The sequence below is a fragment of the Homo sapiens genome, chromosome 3 (assembly GCF_000001405.40).
Source record: "Homo sapiens chromosome 3, GRCh38.p14 Primary Assembly".
Taxonomy (NCBI): Eukaryota; Metazoa; Chordata; class Mammalia; order Primates; family Hominidae; genus Homo; species Homo sapiens.
The window spans coordinates 45,090,015-45,107,666 of NC_000003.12; the positions used below are offsets into that span (position 1 = coordinate 45,090,015).

The 17,652-nt window shown below is 45.1% G+C and overlaps 1 protein-coding gene across 5 annotated transcripts in view; it reads right to left on the reverse strand.

Annotated features, from left to right (window-relative positions):
- CDCP1 (CUB domain containing protein 1) overlaps nucleotides 1–17,652 on the reverse strand; it is a 64,206-nt gene that overhangs the window by 7,738 nt on the left and 38,816 nt on the right. For all 5 annotated transcript variants that reach the window (XM_024453718.2, XM_011534024.2, XM_017007070.2 and 2 more), the window contains 3 exons: nucleotides 5,333–5,554; nucleotides 3,263–3,643; nucleotides 1,159–1,524 (listed from right to left, as the gene is read on the reverse strand). In XM_024453718.2, the coding sequence (XP_024309486.1) occupies nucleotides 1,159–1,524; nucleotides 3,263–3,643; nucleotides 5,333–5,554 (969 nt within the window). The remainder of the gene's footprint in view (nucleotides 1–1,158; nucleotides 1,525–3,262; nucleotides 3,644–5,332; nucleotides 5,555–17,652) is intronic.

Consider the following 17,652-nt stretch of genomic DNA (forward strand, 5'->3'; position numbering starts at 1 on the left):
AAAAGGTGAGATCCAAAGGAAAGAGGAATGGAAAGAAATGACAGAAAATGAATCTAAGAGAGGAAGAAAACCCAGGATATAATCTATGAGTGTGGAGAGGTTTTCACTTGTGGCATTTGGCTCCCACCAGTTCTCTTGAGGCTAACCAGTTGTGTGGCTTGGATGGACCTTCAATCACTCTGACCCCCAGAAAGGGAAAGGGAAAAAAGCAGCCTCCACAGTCCCTTCTGATTCTGACACTGTGATGCTCGGTGCCTTCACTGAGTAAAGGGCAGACATGGCCCCACCACAGCCTGCCCTGCCACACCTGCATTCCCTTGCTTGATACCCTTTAGTGGTGCCCATGACTTTGAGGAATAAAGGCAAACTCATCATCCTGGCTCCAAGGCCTCCCACTGAGGGTATTTCATGGATTCCAACGTTTCACTGAGACTAAACAAAAAACCATGTACCTGTCAGACTTTTCAGGTCCCCATATTTTAATTCATGACACCGAATCCCATGATACTTTTATGAGGTGGCTATTATTATCTACTCTCTGTAGATGAGGAAGATCATAGGTGTGAAGAGACTTCCCCTACGTAAAAGAGAGATGAATGGTAAAGGATGCTGGTAGATTGACTAAAAAAAATCTAGGCTGGCCAAAAGAATGCAGTCGAAGGGATGGTGTGTGAGTTCCTAACCTAAAAGTATCAAAAGACCTTATATGCCTCCTCCAGTCTCTTGTGGATCTCTCTGCCTCTGCCATGAAAACAGCCCAGGCTGGAGAACAAGAGATCATGTAGAGTCAAGCCAAGTAATCTCAGTTGTCTCAGATGATCTTGGCTGAGCCTCAGCTTTTTGAAAGCACCAAGCTAAGATCAGCAAAGTCCTCTAGCCAACCTGCAGCTGCCAGTAGGTGCATGAATGACTGAGCCCTGATAAGTCCAGCTCAGACCAGAATTGCCCAGCCAACGTTGGAGCAATAATAGATGGCTGCTACTAAGCCACTATGTTCTGGGATGGTTTGTTACTCAGCACTATTGATGCAATAGCTGACTGATACATGGACAGTCAGGACTCAATCTGTGATTCTGACTTGTCTCCAGGCTTGCTCTCTATCCTCCAGCTGACAATTTTTTGTTCATCACTGTCCCCAAAGACCCTGAAGGCCCTTACCCACAGTCCTTGGGGTAAGTGTCACCGAGAAGAGCAGGTCTAGCTGCTTGCCGCTCGTGGGGCTGCAGTTAGAGATGTTGACCCAGAAGCTGTGATGGTGGAAGCTTGGCTTGGGGAGCACATCCTCGTCCAGGCTGAAGATCTCCTCAGCCCGGGTCCGCTGCTCCTGGATGATCATGAATGCGCGCCCTGTCTGGCAGACCACGCCGCTCCGCTCCTTAAAGAAAGTCAGGCAGGCCACCTGGTCTCTGGGCACGCTGATGTTCCAGGACACAGAGGTGAGGGATGGCAGGCCCCGGTCCCAGTTGGGGGTCCTCAGGTAGACCTTGCTTTTTGTGTCAGGGGTCACCGTGAAAACGCCTTCCTCTGCAGGAAAGGGAGGGAGATCCAGACAGATGTTTCATTCAGTCAACATGGAGAGGAAAGGGAGTGGTGGAGGAGACGAAGTCCAACTGTCCAGACCAGCGCTGTCTAACCGAACTTTCTGCGATGATGGAAATCTTCTAGATCTGCACCATCTGATAGGGTAGCCACCAGCTATATGTCTGCTGAGCCTTGAAATGTGCCCAGCATGACCAAAGAACTGCATTTTAAATTTGTTTCATGTTAATTTATTATTATTAGTTATTTTTGAGAGGGAGTCTCACTCTGTTGCCCAGGCTAGAGTGCAGTGGCACGATCTCGGCTCACTGCAAACTGCAACCTCCACCTCTCAGGTTCAAGCAATTCTCCAGCCTCAGCCTCCCGAGTAGCTAGGACTACAGGCATGAGCCACCATGACCGGCTAATTTTTTGTATTTTTAGTAGAGATGGGGTTTCACCGTGTTGGCCAGGCTGCTCTTGAACTCCTGAGCTCAAGTGATCTGCCTGCCTTGGCCTCCCAAAGAGCCGGGATTATAGGCATGAGCCACTGTGCCCAGCCTCATATTAATTTAAATTCAAATCATTGCTATGTGGCTAGCACCACTGTATTGGTCAGTGCTGGATCAGTCTCAGTCAGAGTAGGTACTCAGGACTTTTGAAAAAAAACAAAACAAACAGGCAAATAAAAACCAGGCAAGTTTCCCAAACTGGTGGTTATCTCAGCTTCCCTTCAGAAATGCTCTCAACGTAGCTACTATATTCATCTATTGCCCTCTCCGGGGTGGGGCTGGTATAGCCTGATTTCTGTTTCAGAGATTAAAATATCTTCAGGTTCTGGGAAGAGTTCCGGAACTGCAAAGCTGAAAGAGCTCCTGACACGTCAACTAATCCCTTCCTTACCTTCAGGAGAGATAAAACCCACACATTCCACACTGATGAGAATGTGTCTTATTTGCAAAGACTCCTCAGAAGGAGTTTCTCTGGTAACCTTGGAGATATCAGGCAGCCTGGACCCACCTTAATCTTATGACCAAAGATTCTTCTCCCTCCCACTCACACCTCAGAGAATAAGAGTAGGAAATAAACATCAAAGGTCTTGGTCAATTTTAAAATGGCCTCTAACTTAATGTTCTTGGAGCAACTTGTAATGGTGACTGTGACTTTTAAAGTCAACCATGTAGAAGTCACGTTGTGAGCCATTTAGACCTCATTTACTGCCTCAGAACATGGAGACCACATGCCAGCCTCCCAGGAGGGTCGGGTCTGCCCAGCCGTGCTGCTGGACTCTGGCTCCAGAGACTCGTCTCCCTCCCAACGCTCCTCCCTCTGTGCTCTCGGCACTGCATTCTGAATTGTAAAAGCAGAGTCATAAAAATGTCTGCCTAAGGATTTTTATGTCACTACCTTAAAAATCCGGGACTGGGGAATATCTGGCTATTTCTCATTTACGTCCTGCCTGCTTCCAAAAAAGACTCAAACCTGATAATGTTTTTGCTGCCTACCAACCATCGCCTCTCACTGTCAGAAACATTTTTTATTTCTAATCTCAGGAATTTTCCATGCTAGGTTAATGGTAAAGTCAGGATTAGGACTCACTATCTTTCAAATTTCTTGTGCAAGGACCAGCATATTGAGCTATCCCTTCTTTCCAAACTGGCAACTTAATTAAGGTGATCACAAAACTAAAATCAAATAAACGCTTAAACTAAAGGGGCATGGAGATAGGGGAGACCCCCCTTACCTTTGAAATAAGGTATAAAGGACACCGTCAGACCCTGCCTGGAGGCCTCTTGTTGGAAGCTGGGGGCAAAGGTGCGAAGGGTCACCGAGATGTTCTGCTTCACCTGGATCTGCTTGATAGAGCCTCCCGGGCAGAAGGAGCCGAAGTACAGGTCCTGGCTGGGTATGGCACTGGCCACGAGGTAGCTGAAGCTGGTGTTGCAGGGCTTCTCGTGTGTATGCTGCTGCAGCTTCTGGGCTGGCACCAGCACCAGGCTGAGCCTGTCCTTGGGCACCAGCAGCTTCCAGGAGAAGTCATGCAGCTCCACAGGCAGGTGGAGGATGTCACTGGGCACCTGGAGTGAGTAGGATTTCCTTTGGCAGTACCGGTGGTCTGTGCAGCCTGGAAGAAGTGGGGCATGCTAGCCATGCACAAAGGAGACCAGAAGTGCACCCTCCCCAGCTCTCCCGTCAGCCTGAGGTTGGGTGTCTGCATGCTGCCCTGTGTTTCCCTTCGGTCTCTCTTCTCCCACCCTGCCCTCTGCTTCTGGCTCCTCTGTGTTCCTTTTCTAGCGGTCCCTCTGCTCTCTTAGTAAACATTCTTACTGTTTACTAAGCTGGCAAACAAACTTCTGGGTAGTACTCAGGGTTGAAATTTCCTCTCCTTTTTTGCTTAAGTTTTTCTTCTGTGTATCTGTGTCTTAGATGCTAAGTGTCATGGGGCAGGGCACAGGTTTCACTCCACCCAGACGTGTTGCTCAGGAGGCAGTTCTGGGCAGTGGTTGGAGCTGTGAGTGGCGTTGGGGAGATGTTAGTTCGTCTTCTGGCTCTGCCACTTCCTAATAGGGTGTTCTTGGGCAGGCTACTTTGCCTCTTGTGGCCTTAGTTCCTGCATTTGAACTAAGAGCACACATCAGAAGTCATGGTAGCCCAGCAAGGAGGTGGCTGTTGGTTTACTGGCCTTCAGTCATCAAACATTTTTTTTTTTTGAGACCGAGTCTCACTCTATTGCCCAGGCTGGAGTGAAGTGGTGCGATCTCGGCTCACTGCAACCTCCACCTCCCGGGTTCAGGCGACTCTCCTGCCTCAGCCTCCCGAGTAGCTAGGATTACAGGCACCCAACACCATGCCCGGCTAATTTTTTGTATTTTTAGTAGAGATGGGGTTTCGCCATGTTGGGCAGACATGTTGGCAGACCAGCCTGCCCAACCTCAAGTTATCTGCCTGATAACCTGACCTCAAGTTATCTGCCTGCCTCGGCCTCCCAAAGTGCTGGGATTACAGGCATGAGCCACTGTGCCTGGCCAATCAAACATTTTTCAAGTGACTAGTGCATGTCCAGCACCGGTAGGGGCTAACTGGATGAAAAATAGAACGAGTCAAAGTTCTTGACCTCAGGAATCACAGTCTTGTGTGAGAGAAGACAAGAGGGCAGTGAGTGTGGAAGTGGGGGTGTGGGGTGTGGGGGGATGGGGATGGGAGAGGCTGGGGAAGTCTGAGCAAGAGAGGAGAGGATCTCACAAGAGGAAGATTGGAAGGCTGGGCAGAGAGACATAAGCCTGAACATGGGGCAGTATGACACAGTTCTGAGGGCTGCAGGCTCTACCTGAGGCTGGTCCAAAGGGACGTGTTGACACCCACTCTGCTTGCCTCCTGGTCACCCTTGCTCACCTGCACTGTGGGTGGGGTTTTTTTTTTTTTTTTGAGTCTTACTCTGTTGCCCAGGCTAGAGTGCGTGGTGCAATCTCGGCTCACTGCAACCTCCGCCTCCCAGGTTCAGGCCATTCTCCTGCTTCAGCCTTCTGAGCAGCTGAGATTATAGGCGCCTGCCACCATGCCCAGCTAATTTTTGTATTTTTAGTAAAGATGGGGTTTTACCACGTTGGCCAGGCTGGTCTTGAACTCCTGACCTCAAGTGATCCACCAGCCTTGGCCTCCCAAAGTGCTGGGATTACAGGCGTGAGCCATCGTGCCCGGCCAGATGGGCCTTTTTGATATGATTTACAACCTACCCAGGGAACCCCACTAAGGCAAGGCGGGGAGAGAAGAGCTATCCATGGCCAGGGACAAATGCACTGATTCAGGGGCGTACTTATGGTTTTTTCCACATTCATCCACAGACGTGTCAGATCATCACAAAGGAAGGAGATTTTGTGTTTGGAGCCAGATGTCAGGGTGAGGTTGCTACTGCAGGTCCGAGATTCTAGACACACGAAACAGCCAGGGACAAACTTGCGGCTCTGTTTGACGGGCCGTGGCTCGATGGTGAGTGACATGGCTCGCTCATTACTCAAGTCAACCACGTAGATTTTATCTGAAACCACAAACAGAAAACAGGCATGAAGCATGGATCAGCAGCAACACGGGAAATGGCAAAAATTGGTAGAAAACCTCTCCTGAGGAAGAAAATGGCATATCAGACCATGGATGGATAATGTTGGGAAAACGTATTATTAAGGCAACATTACAATAACTATAAAAGACAGTTAAAAAGAAAAATAATGGACTTCACTACAATAAAAACAAAGAGAAAATCATTAAAAATGTGGCATAAACACAAATTATAAAAGTGAAAAAAAGATTAAAATATCTGTCTGATGATAGGTGCTACAAATAAGGTTAAAGGACAAGGGACACGTCGGGAGAAAGTGTTTGCAATATAGAATGATTGAGCAGCTCACAGGAAAGGAGATATAAATGACTAAATATTTAAAATATAGAAAGTTCTTAATGTCACTTGTAATCAGAAAATGCAAGTTAAAACAAAGTGTTACTGTATCCCACTCCTCAGATGGGGGGAAATGTAGATGTCTGGCAATACTGAAAGCTGGAGAGGCTACAGGAAACAGGCCCTTTGGCACACGGCCAGTGGGAGCCTGGAACACCCTGTTACAGAAACATGGGAATTAGTAAAAGAATGAACTCTTGTCTCTTCTGGGAACCAAACAGTGTGACATGGCCATGAGTGCCCACGTTTAACTGCAGCACTGTGATTGTGGGAAACTAGAGACCACCTTATACTGGAATAGATAAACTATGGGGACATTCACCAATGGAATATTACGGAGCTGTTAAAAAGAATGAGGGAGGCTGGGCACAGTGGCTCACGCTTGTAATCCTAGCACTTTGGGAGGCCGAGGCGGGCAGATCACCTGAGGTCAGGAGTTCAAGACCAGCCTGGGTAACATGTTGAAACCCCGTGTCTACTAAAAATACAAAAATTAGCTGGGTGTGGTGGTACATGCCTGTAATCCCAGCTACTTGGGAGGCTGAGACAGGAGAATCGCTTGAACCCGGGAGGCGGAGGTTGTTGAGAGCTGGGATTGTACCACTGCACCCTAGCCTAGTGACAGAGCAAGACTCCGTCTCAAAAAAAAAAAAAAAAAAAAAAAAGAGGGAGATTTGAAAACCTAAATATAAATATTGAGCAGAACAGCAAGTTGTAGATAATATGTAGAGTATGATACAATGCAGATGGTAAAATCTCTCCGTGAAACAAAATAGCTATTTATATATACAGACTTATGTATGCAGATGAAGAGAAAAAAGATCTGGAGAGAAATATGACAAATCCGTGACTGTGGTTACCCCAGAGGAGGGGCCTGGGAGTAAAGACAGACTGAGTGGTCAAGGAGGATTTTAGCTTTGCCTATAATATTTAAATTTCTAACAAGAACATAGTTACCTATTTCTTGCATCATTTGGAAAACTGCTGGATTATTGGTCATTTAGGTGATTTCTATAATTTTGCCATTAGAAATAAATGAACAGTGCCAGGCATGGTGGCTCACACCTGTAATCCCAGCACTTTCAGAGGCTGAGGCGGGTGGATCACTTGAGGTCAGGAGTTGCAGACCAGTCTGGCCAACATGGTGAAACCTCATCAATACTAAAATACAAAAATTAGCTGGGCATGGTGGTGGGCGCCTGTAATCCCAGCTACTCGGGAAGCTGAGGCACGAGAATCGGTTGAACCCAGGAGGTGGAGGTTGCAGTGAGCCGAGATCCCGCTATTTCACTCCAGCCTAGGCAATAGAGCAAGACTCTGTCTCCAAAAAAAAAAGAAAGAAAGAAAGAAAAGAAAAGAAAAAAAGAATAGGGATACCTTTTCAACTCTTTAGAATAGATTACCAGATTGGTTTATAAAAGACTCATTTCACTTTTTAATGTTATCCCTAGAAAGCTCTACACCACAGATGCCTGGGGATCAACTTGTACTGAGTTGCTTTTGAATTTCATTCATTCTTTTGTTTAAAAAAAAAAAAAAAAAAGCCCATCAGATTAGGAAGGCGCCTGTGCAAAGTGGTGCTAACTTTGCAATTCAAGGGTGTTGACAATATCACCCATCAGCGCCGGCGAATGAGTTCAATTCTAACTGGGAAAGCTCTATTTCCAAAAAGGCCTGCTAAACTTCCTTCTTCCTCATAACAGGAACCATATAATTGATGGACTCTCTCCTCTTGAACTGGCTGCAGGGAAGCTCGGTGTCAAATTAGTAGCACAATTAGGAAAATGTTTTATGGCTGTCATATCTGTTAATTGCCTGCTGTAGTTCTTGCTGTCTATTTTCCACGTAAATTTTGACATCACATCCAATAGTGCTTTAATTAGAGAGATGCCATGTCTAGAGCTGAAGTATATATTCTAATGCTGCTAACTTAAATATAATTTGATTTGGAAAATAGTCAGCTTTTCAATCACCTGGCCCCACATCCAGCTCATTTCTTACTGTCTTTCAAAACTCACCTTCATTGTTACCTGCAGGACACCTCCCCACCCCAAAGCCGTGTTAGAAGCCCCTCTGCTTCTGCAGTCCCTGCTTACCTTTACCAAGGCCCCGCCACACACTGCAGTGGTCTCCCCACCCGCTCTTCCCTCATTTCCATCTTACCAAAGCCATGCATGCACATACTTTAAAGCAGAGATTCTCAGCCTTTATTATTATTATTATTATTATTTTGGGGGACAAAGTCCCACCCTGTCACCCAGGCTGGACTGCGGTGGCGTGATCATAGCTCACTGCAGCCTCAACCTCCCAGGTTCAAGCGATTCTCCTGCTTTAGCCTCCTGAGTATCTGTGAAACAAAACAGCTATTTATATGTACAGATTTATGTATGCAGATGAAGAGAAAAAAGATATGGAGAGAAATATAACAAATCCGTGACTGTGGTTACCCCAGGGGAGGAGCCTGGGATAACCGCAGTAAAACATGCTCTGTTCCATTGCTCAATAACACACTCCGTTCCATTGCTGCCTATGGATCTTTCAGTTTCAGGCACTGTCTATTGGCTTCCCACTCAGGAAGATGTGGATTTCTCCTCCTTCACCCCACACCCCCTCCACACCCCACACCCCCACAACACAGCACAGACTAGCGAACACTCACACCACACACACTTCCCATTCCCATTCTCCCATCTTCCTGATAGTTAGCGTCATATTTTCAGCTAGATCTTCATTCTATGTTTGTGTAATCGTGACTATGTAATAATATTAACAGTGTTTAGGTAGCTACACTATATTGCATGCTATAATGATTTTTCCTTTCTGCATAAAATTTTGTGTTCCCTGTAGTGAATTATTATCATTTTAATCATTTCCTTAGTTTCTATGTACTTATCAATAATTTGATACCCAAACTCTCTTCCACTTGTATAAATCTCCTTTCAATAAATTTGAAAACATTAGGTACTTCCTCAACTTCTTAAGAAATCTCTCCAGAGCCTTTTCAATGCTCTAATCTAAAGGGGCTGCTCTTGATGCCTGGTGCTCAGGTGTGATCCTGGATCTCCTTCACTGTTATCATGGGATTCCCTTTGCTTCTCTCTTGGACTAGATCCTGGGCTTCCTGGATCCATCTTTTCTTTTCTTTTTTTTTTTTTTAATTTTTACTTTCTTTTTAGGTGGATTACAGCCTTCAGGTGCTTCTTGAGAAAGTATATATGGGGGTAAATTTTTTTAGATCTTGTAGGTCTAAAAATGTCTTTATTCCACCTTCACACTTAATTGTTTGGCTTGGTATAAAATTCTAGGTTGGAAATAATATTCCTTCAGAACTTTGAAGATCTTACTCCATTGTTTTATAATACCCAGTGTTGCTGATAAAGTTTGTTGCCATTTGGTTTCTTCTTCCTCCGTATAAAACTTTTTTACCTCTTCTCTAGAAGCTTGTAGGGTCTCTGTGTCCCTGATATTCTGAAATGTTACAATACTGTGCCTTGGTGTGGGTCTATTTATATCCATTGTGTGTGGTGGCCCCTTCCAGTTGGCAACTCATATCCATCAGTCCTGGCAAATGTTCCTGAAATATTTTGTGATGATTCCCTTCCCTCTATTTTTTCTCTGTAAAACTCCATCTATCCGGATATTGGGCCTCCTTGACTGGTCCTTGAGTTTTATATTTTCTCTTTCTTTCTATCGCGCTGGCTTTTTCTTCACTCCACTTTCTGGGAGATATCCTCAACTTTATCTTTCAGCCCTTTTGACTCTTTCATTTCTGCTAACATATTTTTAATCTCCAAGAGTTCCTTTGAACTCTTGGAGATTAAAAACGAGCTTTCTCCTGAAAGCCCTTTTTAAAAATTACAACCGGTTCCTTTTACATAAACGCAGCATCTCTTCTTATTAACTTGAGAGTCTTGATAGCTGATTTTTAGTTTTTTCTCCCTCTATAGTCTCTGTTTCCTGCAAGTGGCTTTTCTTCTATTCATTTGTTTTAGTCTTTGTATTTTTCATTAGGCTTCACCAGATGTCTGGGGATCTATATACTGCTCTTATTTAAAGTGAGGCACTAATGCTATTTGGAATAGCTCTGCTTGTTGACTGGGCTTCTCAGTAGGGTGATATGGCCAGATTGCTTCCTGGGGAGCCCATAACATCAATATCTTTGGGTCTTTTCTCTTAGATTGGTCAGATGCCCCCAGAGAAGAAGTCATTCTCTACCGAAGGGAAGAAACATACCCATGGGCACCAGGGAAGGAAGGATGGAGCCTCATGCTCAGTACTTCAGTTTTACTCAATCCCCCGTGTTCAGCTTAGTACCTCCACCTTCAGTGTGACTGGGATCTTTGGTTCAGGGACTCTCATCTCAGGAAAAGAAACTTCTCTCTTCTGTCAGCTCAGGGAAGAACAGTTGTTTGGCTGCTTGTTGGCAAGGAGACCATCTGGGGCTCTAGTGGCTCTTCCCACCTTAGCCCCACATTTGCCCCCAGTTCTGGAGGAGACTTGCTGCCAATTCTTGAGGCTTTGCAGGATAAAGCAGATTTCTTCTTGGTTTTTCCCACTGTTGGCTTAGGATTCTGCCCTTTCACATCTGCTGGATCAGTTACCACCTTTCTACTCTATGAAATGTTATACGATATTTTTTCCTTTCTATTTCTCTTTCTTCCTTGAATTTTATGTCTTTAAAAATACAAAAAAATTGTACCTTAAAAATGTTTTAAAATGCTTTAAAAATGTTCTAAGAAAACCCATTATAGTAGGGTGTATGAAGGGAGTAAAGCCATCTTTAACAGGAAGTCATGATTTTCCTTTTACTTGTTCATCTTTCCCACCAGAATGTGAACTTCATGGCTCCACATAACTGGTATATGGTAGAGGATCAATTACAATGTTAGGCTGTTCATCCTCATGATATCCTTGAGGGAGTGTGTAAATCAGCTGAGGCTAAATTATGCTGCAGCAACAAATGATCCCCAAATCTGAATGGTTAGTATAACAAGGGTTTATTTCTTGTTCACTTTACATATTCATTGTGAGTTGGCTGCAGCTCTGGCTTATGTCTTCTGAATTCCAGATCCAAGTTGAAGAAGCCTCTATTTGTGACACAGCAGTCTTGCGACAGAGTTTGAAAATGTGAACCACATGATGAGTGCTGAGGCTTCTCTCAGAAGTGGCAGGCTCACTTCTGTTCACATCTCATTGGCCAAAGCAAACCCACATGGCCAAGGCTGTGGTCAATGCAGTACCAAGTCTAATCCTCCCTCAGCAGGGGTGGTGAATATTTTAGAACAAAAATGCAATCTAGCATAGGAGGCATTATCACTACCATTTCGCAGACAAACTAAGGCTAGGAAGTGGTAAGACTGGCAATGAAGTCGACATCTTCCTGATTACAAAGCCTGTGCTATTTCTATGATGTTCACTGCTTCCCTGGACCCAACTGCCTCTCCTCTAGCCTGGTGGTTGCACTGAGGAGACAAGAAATTGTGTGGGCCCTGGGACTGGCTTCATGCAGCTCACTTATAGATGGCACACTCATGGAAAAACTCTGCCAACTGCCATCCAGTTTCAAGATGATAGTGAAGCTGTTCCTTAATGTGCTGTAGAAGTGTATTAAATGTGGTCATGTGCTGGGTGCAGTGGTTCATGTCTGTAATCCCAGCACTTTGGGAGGCCGAGGTGGGCAGATCACCTGTGGTGAGGAGTTCGAGACCAGCCTGGCCAACATGGTGAAACCCCATCTCTACTAAAAATACAAAATTAGCTTGGCATGGTGGCGCATGCCTGTAATCCTAGCTACTCGGGAGGCTGAGGCAGGAGAATCACTTGAATCTGGAAGGCAGAGGTTGCAGTGAGCCGAGATCGCACCATTGCACTCCAGCCTGGGCAACAAGAGTGAAACTCCAGCTCAAAAAAAAAAAAAAAAAATGTGGTGATGCTTGGTTTAGTTCAACAGCCGTTCACCGTTCATCAAATATGTACAGAGGGCCTGTTTCTACTTTCAACACTATGCTCCAGTGTTGGTACACACAATAAATAGGCTTTTCCTTACAGAAGGTTGCAATTTAAATTTGCATTAGGTAATACTGTTTTTATTATCTTCATTTTTTTTTGAGATGGAGTCTTGCTCTATTACCCAGGCTGGAGTACAATGGTGTGATCTCAGCTCACTGCAACCTCTGCCTCCCAGGTTCAAGTGATTCCCCTGCCTCAGCCTCCTGAGTAGCTGGGATTATAGGCACTTGCCATCATGCCTGGCTAAGTTTTGTACTTTTGTAGAGATGGGGTTTCACCATGTTGGCCAGGTTGGCTTTGAACTCCTGACATCAGGTGATCCACTGCCTCGGCCTCCCAAAGTGCTGGGATTACAGGCATGAGCCACCTTGCCTGGCATATATTCATTTTATAAAATACAAATTTAAAGCTTAGAAAGGTTAAGTAATTTGCCCAAACTTACATAGCTAGCTAGTGGGTAGGACCCAACATCCAAACATACGGTCTTAACCTTTCGATATATATCTTCCCTTGGTTAAAAAGAAAATTATTTGCTGGGCATGGTGGCTCATGCCTGTAATCCCAGCACTTTGGGAGGCTGAGCTGGGCAGATCACTTGAGGTTAGGAGTTCGAGACCAACCTGGCCAGTATGGTGAAACCCTGTTTCTACTAAAAAAAAAAAAAAAAGAAAAAGAAAAATTATTATTGTTTTGAGACAGTTTCACTCTGTCAACTCTGTCACCCAGGCTGGAGTTTATGGCTCACTGCAGCCGCCGCCTCCTGGCCTCAAGCGATTCTCCCACCTCAGCCTCCCTAGTAGCTGGGACCACTCCCTAGTAGCACATGCCACCACACCCAGCTATTTTTTGTAGAGACAGGGTTTTGCCATGTTGCCCAGGCTGGTCTCAGACTCCTTTGGGCTCAACCAAATATGCCTGCCTCGGCCTCCCAAAGCGTTGGGATTACAGGCGTGAGCCACCATACTTGGTCTTGATTTTTTTTTTTTGACAAATAATTTACACATAATAAAATACACAGATCTTAAGTGTTCAGTGTGATGAGTCTGTACAATTTTGTTATATCCATTGTATCAATCACCCAAAGAAAGATCTAGAACATTCTTATCATCCCAGAGTTTCCTTTGTGCTCTTTTCCAGTCAGTTTCCCCCAACTTCCCATCCCCTAAAAGGCAACGATTTTCTGATTTCTATCACTGCAGATTCTGGCTGCCCTGGAACTTCATAGAAATGGAATTGTACGGTACATACTCTTTTGTCTCTGGCTTTTTTTCTCTCTGCAGAATGATGTTTTTAGGGCTCATCCATGTTGCTGTGGGTATCAGTCGTTCTTTCCCTTATTATTCCTGAGTAGTACTCCATGAGCGAGCATATCACATTTGTTTATCCATTCCTCTGTTGGTGATTTAGATTGTTTTCAGTTTTTGACTTTTATGGATAAGACTGCTATGAATATCCTTGTACAAGTGTTTGAGTAGACACATAGTTTCCTTTCTCTTGAGTAAATACCTAGGTCTCATAGGTAAGCACTATGCTTTGAATATAGCTTGTCCCCACCCAAATTCATATTGAGGTGTGGTCGGTCCCCAGTGGGGCAATGTTGGGAGGTGGTGCCTTTAAGAGGTGATTAGGTTGTTAAAACAGATTAATCTCTTTCTCACAAGACTGGGTTAGTTCCATGGGAGTGGATCAGTTTTCACAAGAGTGGGCTGTTATAAAGCTAGGCTGCCTCTCATGTTTTCATCTTTTTCACACATGCCCGTTTCCCTTGCCACTCCTCTGCTATATTATGGCACAGCAAGAGGCTCTCACCAGAAGCTGAGCAGATGCTGGTGCCATGCTTCTTGGACTTTCCAGTCACCAGAATCGTGAGCCAAATAAATCTCTTTTCTTTATAAATTACCTAGTCTCAGGTATTCTGTTATGGCAACACTAAATGGACTATGAGAGTAGGTGTAAGTTTAACTTCATAAGAATCTGCCAGACAATTCTCCCAGGTGGTCACACCATTTGACACTCCCAGGAGCACTCCATAAGAGTTCTGTTGCCGTCCATTCTCACCATCATTTGATGTTCTCAGCCTTTCTTGTTTTAGCTATTCTAGTGGGTGTGAAACACTATTGTGGTTTTACAGTTTATATTTCTTTTGAAAATTACTGTATAATAATCAGGTGGACTGTGGTGAGATACCTCATGTCCCAGCTAAAACAGAAGCCCAGTTTATTGATTCTGGGGGCAAGACAGACTGCCCGTTATGAGGAGGCTCTCTGTAATATCACACTTCATTCCACTTTCTATTTTGCATTTGCACCTCATTCATTAGTCATTTTACACATTTCTTTCCACACTTCTTTTGGTTGGATCTCAAAATAACCTGAGGAACCTGAGGGGTAGACACAGTTAATTTCCCTGCTGCCTACAGAATGTTTTCATATGTGGCTTCAGCAGGCAAAACAGGGTGGAAATGTGCAGCCCTTATCTCTCACAGATGGGTGTTTTAAATGTAAAATTACCTATTAACATTCATAAATCTATGGAAAGACAAGACAGATCTTTACTCAGTGAGGTCTGTGTGCTTTGACAAGTTGCCTTATCTCACCCTCACAACATGGGGGGAAGGAGGAATGACTATTGTTATTTTACAGCTGAGAAGGTTGCAAATTAACCGCTCAATGTTCCCTAATAAAGGGGCAGATCTGTGATCTGGACACAGTTTCCTGCCTTGAAAGAATCCCATAGTTTTTCTACAACATTGCAGATGCCTTCATATAAAAAACATTTGAGGCTGGGTGTGGTGGCTCACGCCTGTAATCCTGGCACTTTGGGAGGCTGAGGTGGGCAGATCACCTGAGGTCGATTGTTTGAGACCAGTCTGACCAACATGGAGAAACCCTGTCTCTACTGAAAATACAAAATTAGCTGGGCATGGTGGGCTTGTAATCCCAGCTACTTGAGAAGCTGAGACAGGAGAATCGCTTGAACCCAGGAGGCGGAGGTTGCGGTGAGCCAAGATCGTGCCATTGCACTCCAGCCTGGGCAACAAGAGCAAAACTCTGTCTCAAAAAACAAACAAACAAAACATTTGAGCCTGATGTTTAACCCCCACCTGCCACCAAAAGAAAACCCTTCACTATTTAATAGTTATTGACACTGTTGTAAAAGCCACACTGGGGACCTTTGAAGGGATTGGGTTACTGACTGATGTTTCATAAAGGCCCCTAATCATTTTTGTGGTATCTATAGATAGACAATTTTTTTTGGAAATGGACTCAATGGGAGTAAGTCAAAGGCCATAATACCTATCAGCTCAGCAGGACAAATTTAAGACTCATGGAACACAAGTTACCCAACAAAAACAAAAAACAAGAAGCAAAAACAAATCCAATAATTATTTAAGGTTCCAGGTGGCTTCTGGAGGTTGTAAAAGCCAAAAAAGGAGCAATGTATCTGCTTCCACAACCAGCATTCACCCAGAGTGGTTAACAAAGCGTCCTGTGTAACACACTGGAAATGCACATCTGCTTGTCGTATGTGACTCATGATCACCCAGAAGCCCATGGGTTTTGAAGATAATAGTTTGTTTGGTATTTTCAGGAAAGCAAACAGATTTTCCAAAAGCTAGAAGAGGATGCATAAAGCAGTAGGCTAGTAGGCTAGAAGGCTCTCCCTAAAGCCTTATAGATGGGTAGATATATAGATGGGTAGAATATAATATAGATGGGTAGAATACTGTACCATTAACTCACATAATCATTATCAGCAGGGCCACTTGAACCTTTAGAAATTATACAAAGAGAGAAACAGGCTGCCTGGTGAAAGTGGTAATAACATCAGGCATGACATGGTAATCTTGTGATATCAAAAAAGAAAGGAGAGGGTGCATTGTGGAGCACTTAAAAACAAGATTTGTGTGGTAGAGGTGAACATGAACTGAGCTCTCAGACACCCGTGGTTTGCACACTGTGGGCAGCTGAAGCTATCACTGCTTACAGATGTGGTCACGGATGGCCACATCAGTTATTCCTCAGTTCCTGGGTAATTGTACATGACTCAAAACACAGGATGTTTGTGGTCAAGCCATGGAAAAATACTCCCTACAGGAGTTCTCTGGGTCTAGTTTGAACCTACCTGATGTTTCTCAGCAAAGTAGAGAGGACTGATGGTAGATATTTTTATCTTGTTTTTTGGACAATTAGGTTCAAGGTAACACCTGTCTGTTTTTTTGTAGCCTGGGCCCACTGTGCTCAGGTCCTGCTGTAGATAATGAGGGGTTTGGGCTGGCTGGTGCCTCTCACAGCTTTCTCCACCCCTGCTGAGGCTCTGGCTTTCTATGGTTGCACTTTGGTTTGAGAAGGTCTCCAGGCTCTGCCTTTGCTCTTATTTCTGATGCCCTTCTCCTTGTCTGCCCCACCACCAAGCAGCTGCTCTCATGGGTGCCCCACTTCACTGTATCTGCCTTGCCCCTTCAGATGGGCTGTGGGTTCTTATGGTGCAACTGGCTCTTGAGCCACTTTGGAAAAGATGCTGACTCCTGAGATTGGTGCAACACGGATTTATGGAGGGCCTGGAATGTGTCGGAAGCTGTGGTGGGAATAGAAAGAGCAATAAGACAAGATTCCTGACTGGGAGGAGTTTAGTAAGATGCAGACGTGGAGACAGATAAATCCATGTTGTGTGAAGAATGCAAACCACCCACAAGTGCACTCCTGGGGTAGTGGCTTTGGTCTGGGTAGTTGTTCCCCTGCTTCTGGGGACAAAGGAAGGTCAAGTTAGGGCAAAGCCTGGGTTGGACTCAGAGAGGTGCAGCAGTGAAGGGGTCGAGGGGGAAACTAGCCCCAGGAGATTTTCCTCTAGCACTCACAGGAGAAGCAAGGGCAGAGGCTCTGACCCAAAACTCAGTCACCTTGAGGCCCCTCTCTCAGCTTCTTTCTCACCTCCAAGGCTAAGAAAGCAGGAGCAGCACATAGAGCTCTTCCAGTGATCATGAGCGGCACACACCATTGGCACAGATGGGGCCTCCTGCACAGCCTGAGAAGGGCCAGACTCTGCCCAGAGTCTCCCCTTAGTATTCCTACCAGCTGCGGTCCACTCTCCTGCCTCCAACCTCACCACATGCCATTGGAATTCCTTCCATGAGTGACTTGCTGCATCCTACCAATCATTTCTGGAGCCACAGTCTAATCTCTTTGTTTGAACAAGTGTTGTGTCTTTCTTTCCTTTCTTTCTTTTTTTTTTTGAGATGGAGTCTTGCTGTGTTGCCCAGGCTGGAGTGCAGTGGCACAATATTGGCTCACCACAACCTCCACCTCCCGGGTTCAAGCGATTCTCCTGCCTCAGCCTCCTGAGTAGCTGGGACTACAGGTGCCTGCCACCACGCCCGGCTAATTTTTTGTATTTTTAGTAGAGATGGGGTTTCACCATATTGGCCAGGCTGGTCTCAAACTCCTGACCTTATAATCTTCCCACCTCGGCCTCTGAAAGTGCTGGGATTACAGTCATGAGCCACCGCGCCCGGCCCGTGTTGTGTCTTTTCTAACCCTGCATGCCTGCCTTGACCTAGAACCCTGCAGGAAACATTTAAAGAGCGCTCACTACCTGCCAGGCACTGTGCTACCTCACACTGTCCTCACAACACCCCGATGAGGACAGTCTTACCACTTCCACTTTACAGATGAGCA